General features: G+C 49.6%; 1 annotated feature.

The window, feature by feature from the left end:
• Window positions 7090-9700: an enhancer, noted in NCBI's record as "VISTA enhancer hs1571". NCBI's record gives its function as "enhancer in: midbrain (mesencephalon)[5/5] | forebrain[4/5]" and the evidence as "EXISTENCE:transgenic organism evidence [ECO:0001131][PMID:17130149]".

Below are 11619 nucleotides of genomic sequence, written 5' to 3'. Positions count from 1 at the left end.
ATTACAGGTGCACACCACCACACCTGGCTAATTTTTGTATTTTAAGTAGAGACGGGGTTTCACCATGTTGGCCAGGCTGGTCTCAAACTTCTGACCTCACGATCCACCCGCCTCGGCCTCCCAAAGTGCTGGGATTACGAGCGTGAGCCACTGCACCTGGGCTTAATTTTAATTTTTTAAAAAACTACCTGGTTTACGGCCCAGTGAAAAAATCTTTTTCGTGTAGGACTACACTGCCAATACGGTAGCTCGCCACATGTGGCTATTGAGTGCTTGAATTGTTGAAGGTCTGAATAGAGATTTGCTGTTAATGCAAAAAAAAAAACAAAAACAAAAAACACTGGATTTTGAAGACTTAGTAGAAAAAAAAATGTAAAATATCCCATTAAAGATATTTCTATTTTTCTTCTTTTTTTTTTTTTTTTTTGAGATAGTCTCACTCTGTTGCCCAGGCTGAAGTTCAGTGGTGTGATCTCAGCTCACTGCAACCTCTGCCTCCCAGGCTTAAGCAATTCTCCCACCTCAGCCTCCCCAGTAGCTAGGACTACAGTTGAGAGCCACCAAGGCTGGCTGATTTTATTTTTTGTAAAAATGGGGTCTCCCCATGTTGCCCAGGTTGGCCTCGAACTCCTGGGCTCAAGCAATCCACCCATCTTGGCCTCCCAAAGTGCTGGGATTACAGACTTGAGCCACCCTGCCCAGCCAATATTTCTATATTTATGATGGGAATGAAAATATTGATGATGGGAATGACATGCTAGGTGAAATCAGGCATATTATTAAAACTAATTTCATCATTTCTTTTTACTTTCTAAACACATGGATATGAGCAGATTTTAAATGATGGGTGTGACTTCCTTTATATTTCTACTGAGTGTCCCTGCTTTAGACACTGGGTCTTGTACACAGTTGGCGCTTGGAGAGCCATGGAATCCAATTGGTTAGGAGTGGAGCAAATTAATGGAATTTGTTCCAGCTTTTAAGTGCCAGCTAGGCCCAGGGGTTAGCGAAATGCCAATGCGATGAGGCCTGGATCTCTTCAGTGTAGACCCATAGGCTTGTGCAGCCCAGGGCTTGGAGCGCCTACTGCCTGCCAGGTTCCGCTCTGAGCACGTTACTCAGGTGGCCTTGATTAGCCAAACAATGCATTGAGAGGTGGGGTCAGTCTTTTCCCCCGTAGCGGTGGAGATCAGGAAGGATTGGAGAGGTTGTGTTTATTGAGCACTTACTATGTGCAAGCTTTGTGCCACACTCACACTCAACACGAGTGTCCTCTCTTATCCTCACAACAACCACACCCTCAAGGCAGCTACAATTATGTCCCCAGTTGACAGATGAGGAACGTGAGGCTTGGCTAAGTGAAGAGACTTGCCCAAGGTTACTCTGCTGGTGGGATTTGTGCCTGGGAAGTCTAGTTCCGGCAGCAGTCAGGAAAGAAAGCCACGACCTGTCCCTAAGTCACGACAGAGCAGGTGGTCTGTTCCACCCCTATAAGCCCAGTGCTGTGTGGGCCGGGCTGGGCATGAGGACATAGAGGGAAATGAGACATACTCTCCTCATCCAGGCAAGCGCAATCCTTTTCCCAGGTTAGCACTCCCCCAGGTATGGACAAGTCCAGGAGGAAACGGGAAGGGCTTTCTGGAGGAAGGAGCATCCCAACAGGCCTTGAAGAATGAGGAGAAAATGCACGGGGAAACCCTGTAGGCGGAGGAAACAGGTGGACTAATGCAGGTCTGGGCTCGACTTGTCCTTTCCACTTCAGGATGTGGGTGCTCTGTTCCCCACCTGTTCAACAGAGCTGCTAAAATCTTCCCTGGCTCACCCAGAGGCATTTGTAAACTTCAACTGAGATGATAGCCAGGAAACAGTGTGAAAAGGGAAAGTGACTGGCAAATATTATTGTCACTGTTGTCCTCATCGGCACCGTGTCTCTGCCCTCAGTCCACACCTCCTCCAAGCTTGCTCCTACCCTTCTCCCTCCTGAAATTATAAAATCCACTTTCTTGTCCTGCCACACCCCAGCTCCTGAATATCATGATGATGACCTCATTGAGAGACTCTTTGGGTGAAGGAAGATAATCTAGCAGAAAACCGGACCACAGACCTAGGTTTGAGTGCTATGTGTGCTGTGTGGCCTTGAGCAGTCAGTTTACCTCTCTGAGCCTCAGTTGTCCCATCTGCAAAATGGATAATCACACTGCCTCTCTCCTAGGTGAGGCATTATGTAGAATGCCATGGGTCAAAGAGCATAATAGATGCTCAATAAATGTTCATTATTAAGTACCTGAGGTGGAGACAGCTAACTGCTTTCTCAATATCCATTCCCCTGCCTTCCTTACTAAAGAACCTGGGTTTTATTCTGGGCAGCTTTGGGCTCAGGTGAAAGAACACATTTCTCACCTATTTTTGCAACCAGGATGGTCAGTAAGGTGTCGGCCAAAGTCACTGAGTGTGGGGCTTGGGAAACTTTAAAGGGAACGACCCCAGCTGAAGGAAGGTCCTTTCCCCTTCCCTGCCCTTTCCCACCCTTCTACCTTCTTTGAGCTTTGAGTGAGGATGGGAGTTGGAAGCTGGATCTCCTACCTGGGGTGGAACCCCCTGGCCCAGACCCCCACCCACTTCCAGAGGCCCCAGGCCGGAGGCCAGAGCCACCGCTATTCGTGAGTTTGGGCAAGAATAGAAAGTACCAGCTCAGCCTAAGCTATTGGGGCATTTTCCACTGACAGCACCAAGAGCTTGCAGCCTATTACCATCATTATTATTATTATCACCATCATTGTCACCATCATTATTGGACAAAGCCAGCCTCCGTCCTTCCCCAGCCTGAGCCCCACCACCCTTCTCTCCCGCAACATCTTGGCTCCCGTCCCTCCATTCTCTCGCCCTCACTCCCTCTTTCTTCCTTTTATGTTCCCTGCCCCCCTGCCGCCGTCTCCTCTCCCCTTTCTCCTTCCTCTTTATTTTATCTCAACTTGCCACAAATCTGTTCCCCTACAAAGCAGCTGCCATCTTTGTTCTGGGCCATTATCTGTAGCAGCACGGCCCGAGCAGGGCCGCTGGGCAGACAATCACCGGGTAATAGAGTGTCTGCGAGCTATTGTGGAGTGTGTCCGAGCCGATCCATCACCCGCCGCCTGACACCGTGCGCAGGCGGCAGCCGAAAAGCCGGCCGGGCCACTCTCGGAATCTCCACTCTGCCCCTCCGTGTGCAGGACAGAGACCAGGGATGGGGGATCCCAGAATGCAGCCCGGGCTCATTCTGGCTCTTTCCGTGTGCTTAGGGTCCCCTGGTTCACAACTCATTTAATCTATGCCCCAACCCTATCAGGGAGGGAGGCTTATTTTACGCCATTGTACAGATGCAAAGCTGAGGTTCAGAGAGGGGAGGTCACTTGCCCAAGGTCACACAGCATTGTGCAGGCAGAACTGGGACTCGAGCAAAGGTTTTTCTGCCCTAAAGCCTGTGGTCTTAAAACACCGTGCAATGCTCTTCCCCAGAACCTGCTTTTGCATGGGAGTGAAGTGCTTTGCACGTTTAGGACGCAGGCTGGTAATCCAATATTTGCAGAACTCTGTTCTAGACATTGAGCAGGGAGAGTTATTTATTTATTTATTTATTTATTTATTTATTTATTTATTTATTGAGACAGAGTCTCACTCTGTCACCCAGGCTGGAGTGCAGTGGCGCAATCTCAGCTCACTGCAATCTCTGCCTCCCGGATTCAAGCAATTCTCCTGCCTCAGCCTCCCAAGTAGCAAGTACTACAGGAGCCTGCCACCACGCCAGGCTAATTTTTGTATCTTTGGTAGAGACAGGGTTTCACCATGTTGGTCAGGCTGGTCTTGAACTCCTGACCTCAGGTGATCTGCCCACCTCGACCTCCCAAAGTGCTGGGATTGCAGGCATGAGCCACGGCGCCCAGCCAGGGAGAGTTTTTATAAGAGATGTGCAGCAGCCATTCCCCTCTGCTCCACCCATTAGAGTTGGTGATCTAATGGGAAGTGTGGGAAGGGTAGAAAGAAATATTTATCACAATAGGCAAGAAAGTGTAGTGGATAAGGGAAGGGACTCTGCAGCCAATGCCGTTTCCTCATGGCTCTGCCACTCCAGCTGCGTGACCTTAGCCAAGTGGCTTCACCTATTTGTGCCTCAGTTTCCTCATCTGTGACAATAATAGGTCCTCCCTGGTTGGGAGGATTCAATGCATAACACAAGGGCCTGGCATTTAGAAACATCAATTAAATATTAGATATTTTTATTCATTCCAGTCCTACGCAGGGCAGATGTTTTATTTACATGATTTACATTATACCATTTACCCTCCACAACATACCCAGGTGAGGTAGGTAAAATTATTATTTCTATTTTACAGAGGCAGAAATTAAGATTCAGAACCTTGCCCAACGTCACCCCAGCTGGCAAAATAATGCATTCTCTCTTATGCATTCTTTAGGCATTGACTGAGCATGTAATGTGTGCTAAGTTTTGTCCTAAGTGGCGTAAGAACTACAAAGGTTTGCTTTGTAGCAGCAACCGGCTTTTTAGGAGCCCTTCTTTCTGCTAAGCATGTAAATGCATGGCCGAAGATAATCCCCTAGTAATTCTCAGAAGTTGGTGTCTTTATTCCCATTTTACAGATGAGAACTCCAAGACACCAAGACATTAAGCAATTGACTGAAAGTCACAGAGTTCGTACATGTGGCATCCAGGCTTGTATCTTGACAGTCTGACTCCAGAAACAGAGAGACAGAAATTGCCTTGCCTGAGAATGCCCTTGCTCACCCTGAATTTGCCATCTAGCAGGGGCAGGTCAGCTGTCGAGATCCCTAACTAGGGTATGGGGAAGAATTAGCACCATCCAAATAGAAAGGCCACCCCAACAGGCTCTGGCAGATCAGAGGAGAACTCCAGCACATGCTGCTGAGAGTATCAGGGAAGGCTTCCTGGAGGAGGAGGTGAAGGAGGGGCCCAATCCAGAAATGAGGTCTAAGTCGGGCAGGGGACTCTGCATCACCTCATTTGGCTGGATGCGACTTGGGAAAGAGAGACCCAAGACATTCTGGCCATCAATCTGAGCTCACAGCAGGGGTTCTATAGGAGGTGGTTCAGAAATCTTGAAATGCTCCCTAGGGATTTGTGGGTCATGTGGACATTTTTGTTGTGTGTGTTTTTGTTTTTTGTGGACATTTTTCAGTTGAACACCTACTGTGTGCCAGCCCCCCTACTACGTACACCTTGCCCTTATATTGCTCACATTCACATAGAATGACACATGCTTGATGGAAAAGCACAGGGAACTGCAGAGACTCCCTAAGAGGGGCCCCGACCCAGCTTGCAGAGCCGGGGAAGGCTTCCAGAAGGACCTAGCCTGGCAGCTGGGACTCAGAGGATGGGACACAGCAACTCAGAGAGAAAAGAGGGGAGATGGTGTTCCAGACAGAGGCACCAGTTTGTGCAAAGGCTGAGAAAGGGGAGAGGATGGAGCTGGGGATACCAGGTGGGGAGGGGAAGGAGATGGGGTCCCTGCTGCAGTAGGGGTTTGCAGATTGGCTTGACAACAGCCTTGTGCCTAGGAGAGAAAAGTTCCAGCTTTTCATGATCAAGGCAGCATAGGAATGCTCACATGGGATATTTGAGGTTGGGGGGATAGGGAGGGGCAGTTTTGTCAAGATCAAGGTTGTGATACCCACCATTCTTTGAGCACTTGCTGGGCCCAGAAACTGCTTCATGCTTCACATGTCTTATCAATCCCTCCCCATCAACCTTATGAGAGGCCCTATTATCATCCCCATTCCACAGATGAGGAAGCTGAGGCTCAGAGAGGTAAAGTCACGTGCCAAGCATCTGGCTTCAGTGTCCAAGCTCTCAGCCATTGCAAAAAACAGAGCCTCTCTCTGCCTTATAAGCTTCCCCAGGGGTCTGGGCAGAGTCTTCTCTCCCCAGACAAGGAGGAAGCTCCCCAAACCTTCAGGTGGCCTCACCCTGTCCCACCCTCTCAGCTGCACACATCAGCGAGGCTTCCTGCCTCACTTTGCTGACCAGCTCCTACTCACCCTCCAGGGCCCAAGTGGGAAGTGCTTGCCCCAGGAAGCTTTTCCAGTCAAATTGGCCTCCTATTCTGAGTCATTTCTCCCTATATTATGACATTCTGTGCAGGGGCCATTTCCCTGGGTTTCTTGATTTGTGGTATGGTGTTAGCTACCATTTATTAAGTACCTATTGGATTCCAGACTTTGTGACATAGCAGAAGTGGTACTAGTACTAGAAGTATGACAATAGTAACTATGACACTCACAGCCACAATAGCAATTGCGGCTGGCGATCTTGAAGCACCCGCTGGATGTGAGGTATTGTCATGGGAAAGACTTTGGTTGTCACTGTTCATTGAACACTCACTCTATACCAGATTCCGAGGTGACAGCAGCAACCACCACCCCGGCTTCCCCTACCCATGGAGTGTGCCCACTGCACCTGCCACTTGCCCTGGTTCATCACCCACTAGATCCTGATGGTAACTCCTTCAGGTGGGTCCCAGCCTTGACCCATTTCTCAGATCGGGCGAGTGGTGCTCAGACAGGTGCAGGGGTTTACCTTGAGAAGAGGCAGAGCTAGGAACTGCACTGCAGCCTCTGCCTCCAGGCTCCTGGAGTGCTCCCCAAGTGCTCCCCGAGAGCTCCCTGAACTGCGTTGACTGTGAGGAAATAGATGGAGGACAATTATGCAGGGTTTCATCTGCGGTGACAGTGACAGGCCAACCCCAAACACCTAGGAGGCCATCCTGAGCTCTCCCACACCCTCTTGTTCCGGCTTCCCTCTCCCTCCCCATCTGGGCCTCTCTGAACTTCCTGGAAGCTTTTTCCAGGGGTGTTTTGTCTGGGCTATTTATTTCTTTAGCCATCTTCCCTTTTCTCTCCCGATCCTCCTAAAGACCCCGTTGCTCTCTCTTCTCTCCTCTTGCCTGGGCACCCACCCCTCCCCAGTCCTGAGTTTGGTGTCGGAGGGGGCGACATGCAACCCTGCACAGAGATCCCCGAGAAGGCCGGCTGGGGGCACACAAAACCACCCCAGGCCAGGCTCACTGGGAGATCAGAGCTTTGCTTGAGGGTGATCCTGGGGGGTCGAGGGGAGCTCTAAAGTCTTAGGAGGTGGAAGGGGCTGGTGGAGGTGCAGAGAACCTTGGAGACAGCAGGGAGGCTTTGAGGACATCCTGAAGGCAGAGGGGCCGGCTGATGGAGAAGCCCACCCAGACCTGGGGGGAATGCCAGGATGGGGAGAGGTTGGGGGTCGCAGGGAAGATGTAGACCCCATCAAGGTCAGGGGAGAGAGGCCCAGAGATGCTGTCAGATGGTATTACTCAGAATTTGACTGGGGATGGAGTGAAGGGAGGGGCAGACTGTGGGAGTGTGAGGGAGGATGGCATGTACTGCGTGTGTGTGTGTGTGTGTGTGTAGCATGGAAATGGTGTGTGTGTGTGTGAATAGGATGGAGATGGAGTGTGTGTGTAGCTAGGATGGAGATGGTGTGTGTGTGTGGATAGGATGGAGATGTGTGTGTGTGTGTGGATACGATGGAGGAGATGGCATGTGTAGTCGTATATAGATAGGATGGAGATGGGTGGTGTGTGTGTATGGATAGAGTGGAGACGGTACGTGTGTAGTTGTATATAGATAGGAAGGAGATGGTGTGTGTGTGTGTGTGTAGTAGGACAGGGTAGACTTTATGAGTGTGTAAGAGAGTAGGATGGGGTGGACCCTGTGTATAGGGATGGGTGGACCCTGTGTGTGTATAGGGATGGGGCAAGTCCTGTTTATGTATAGGGGTTGAGGTAGGCCCTGTGTGTGTATAGGGGTGAGGTAGGCCCTGTGTGTGTATAGGGGGTGAGGTAGGCCCTGTGTGTGTATAGGGGTGAGGTAGGCCCTTTGTGTGTATAGGGGTTGAGGTAGGCCCTGTGTGTGTATAGGGGTGAGGTAGGCCCTGTGTGTGTATAGGGGTGAGGTAGGCCCTGTGTGTATATAGAGGTGAGGTGTACTGTGTCTGTGTGTGCAAGGGAGACGGATAGGGAGAGTCCCGATAGCCCCCCTTGGCTGCCCAATTCCAAGAAACACAAATACGTAAGCCTCATTGCCCCAGTGCTGCTTAAAAGTGAATGTAAAATATATACATGTACATAAGTGTGTGTTTGTGTTTGTGCATCTGTGTGTACGTGTGTGTGTGTGTTTTCCTCAAAAACCAAGAGTTGCAGTGAATTTCAGGGAAGCGGCAGGGCCCAATGTGGTAATTAACAAAGAAGACTCGGTTTCCCCGTGCCTCTGTATTTACTGATCTATGCATGCACACACAAGGTGAGATAGGATGAATGGCTAATTTCCCAGCGGCTTTTGCTCCTGCTTGCTGCAAAGTTGTGAACAAAATGACTGGCCATGCATTGAACTGGCTTACACAGCTCTCCATATGGAAATTAAGATAATCCAGGGCCCAGCTTTGTGTCTCAGCTACGGCAGGGGAGCCAGGAGGGAAGGGGAGGGGGGCCAGGGAGGCTCCAAAGAGACAGGGTGAGGCTCCCGGGCCTTTCAGAGGAACAGTTTACTGCTCGGGCTGGGGAATTTAGCTCGATTTTGTTGGTCAAACACTTAGGAGGATGTATATTCTTCCACTTCCCCCAACCCCCAGGCCTGCTCCCTGCCACCTTCTTTCTTCTGCTCAGACCTCACCAGGGATGTAATACTCGGTTCAGGGTAGGAAGGGTTTAGGCAGCAGAACAAAAGAGGAGGGATTATGGGTAAGGTCAGAGGGCTCCGGGGATTAGAGATATGATGTATTAAGAGGGCAAGACTGCCAGGAATACTTTCTGTTTCTATGAAGCCTGTGTTAATTGATGGGAAAAATCTCTCCCCTACATATCCCCTCCCACAATCTCCTCTCCACGCTCCCAACTCAGCCTCTTTTTCTCAGGTCCTTCCTTAACTCTCTCTTGTTCCTTTCTCTCTTTCTGCTCTGCCCCTGGTCTCTCCCTACCCAGGGCTTTTCTGATGCATTACGGAGATGAGGTGCAGCCAGGAGGTCCAGGGCGAGGTGAGATGGTGTGAGGGTGGAGTTTGGATGCCCGTTTCAGACTGCCTGGGTTGACGCCCTGTCCCCTGTGAGACACACACACACATACACACACACACACACACACACACACACACACACACACACACACACACGGTATGTGTGATTAGGGTAGTTACTCAACCTCTCTAAATCTTGACTTTCTATTCTATAAAATGGGAACGAGAAATAGCAATGGCTACTCTATTATTTATTATTATTATTATTTTTACTGCATGCCCCAGAGCATTGTTCTGGGTGCTTGAGATTAGATACGGCGGTGAGTAAGCTCCCTCCCTTTCGTCTCGGAGCTCACAGAGTCAGGGAGACAAACCATAGCAGGGAAGTCAATCAATAAAAATGGTGGCAGACTGTGACATCGCGATAACGGACATAAACAGGGTGTGTGGCTGAGGCTAACGAGGGGTGAGTACTGGGGATGGAGGTCTGCCTGTGGAGAAGGCGTAATCAGGGTGGGCATCCCTGAGGAGGTGTCCCTGAGCTGGAACCCTAAGGCTTTCCAGGAGGAGGTGCCAGCCAGAGCAAAGACCTGAAGGAGAAGGGGTGCCGGATGTGTGTGAGAAGTATGATAGAGTGTGGGTGCCAAGGGGAGGCCTCAGGAGGTCAGGCTGCACAGCCAAGTGGGAAAATAAAGAGAACTTGGAAATCATAGATTTTGCCCAAAGCAATCACTGAGTCTATTGATCATTCAAATCGGAGATTTTCCAGCTAACTTAAGTAACCCATTCTCTACCAGCACCTGTGTGACCTTGTAAAAATGCAAATGGGATCCTGTTTACGTCACTCCCCTGCATAAAACCCTCCAGTGGTGACTTCTGCACTTCCAGTTGGACAAAGCTCCTCATCTCAGTTCCCACTGCAGAGGAAAGAAGAGGCCACGTGCTTGGCGGGGCGTCAGGAGCACAGACTTGGGGGGCCAGATGGCCTGGCATGGAAGACCCCACTTCTCCAACTCCCATTAGCATGACCTCAGGCAAGTTACCTGGCCACCTGGGGACTCAGTTTCCTCATCTAAAAGATGGACAAAATGACAATCATACCCGTCTCCTAGGGCCATCATGAAGCTTAAAATAGTCCATATATGTAAACAACTAGGGCATATGGGCACGTGTTATTATTAAGTGCTATGTAGTCATTCGCGTGGGCAATGTTCTAGTAACTCAGGGCAGAGATGGTGGCTCGTGTTGGGGGTTGACAGTAGAGATGGAGCAGAGTGCACAGACACATTTGGAGACTATTTCAGACCTTGAGCAAGACTCTCTGCTCCCTTAGACTTACTCAGGTTCGGGGTGGAGAAGATGTTTCATAGTCCTAGCCTATGGCAGACAAAGACCAAAAGATTTTTGGAGTATACTTACTCCAAATCATCGGAGTGATGTGCCTGACTGCAAGGCTAATCCCATCCTTGGCTGCTTTAATGGAGTCATAAAAGAAAAGACTGGAGGCTGGGCATAGTGGCTCAAGCCTGTAATCCCAGCACTTTGGGAGGCCAAGGCAGGCAGATCGCTTGAGCCCAGAAGTTCAAGATCAGCCTGGGCAACATGATGAAACTCCATCTCTACAAAAAAAAAAAATTAGCCGAGTGTGGTGGTGCTTGCCTGTGGTCCCAGCTTCTCAGGGGGCTGAGGCAGGAGGATCACTTGAGCCCAGAAGGTAGAGGTTGCCATGAGCCATGGTTTGCACCACTGCACTCCAGCCCAAGCAACAGAGCAAGACCCTGTCTCAAAAATAGAGAGAGAAAGAGACTGGAATTCTCTACTCCAGGATTCCCAACCTTGGCACTATTGCCATTTCAAGCACAATCATTCTTTGTTGTAGGGGGCATCTGACCGTTATAGGATGTGGAGGAGCGTCCCTGGCCTCTACCCACCGATGCCAGTTGTGCACGCACGCGTGCACACACACACACACACAGTGATAATCAAAAATGAATGTCTCCAGATAGTGCCAAATGTTGCCTGGGGGTAAAATCTCCCTCAATTTAAAACTACTGCTCTACTCTGAACTGGTCAGCCCCACACTCAAAATATCCTGTTTTATCCTGGATTATAAATTTGAAATTGTTTTGGGAAGAGCAGCCTTACTTAGAAATGAAATTCTCTTGGAGAATGTGTATTGGCCTTGAAAGAGAGAAAAGGCTGTCACATGGAAGAGAACCAACAAGTGAATGACACGGAGAAATGGGGAAAATCTGTGAGTCCAATTCAGAGCTGTTCAAAGATGAGAAGAGTTGCCTTGGGAGGGAGTGACCTCCCCGTTGCTGGTGGTATGCAAGCAGAGATTTTATGATGGTCATCAGGTGGGGATGGAATACTGTATAATATGATGACCATCAGGTGGGGATGGAATACTGTATAATATAATAAGTAATATGGAATACTTATAATACATCATAAGACTCTCCCTCACTTCCAGGGAAAACTCTCTTAGCTTCTGTCTTCTAATTCCTCCCTGAAAAGCTTCCTCACCACTCCCCACAGAACTCTCCCCCTCACTGAAACCAAAAG

Source organism: Homo sapiens, chromosome 12 (assembly GCF_000001405.40).
Source record: "Homo sapiens chromosome 12, GRCh38.p14 Primary Assembly".
In the NCBI taxonomy this organism is placed as follows: Eukaryota; Metazoa; Chordata; class Mammalia; order Primates; family Hominidae; genus Homo; species Homo sapiens.
Note: the sequence above shows the minus strand (reverse complement) of the source record. Positions and strands in the feature narration are given on the sequence as shown.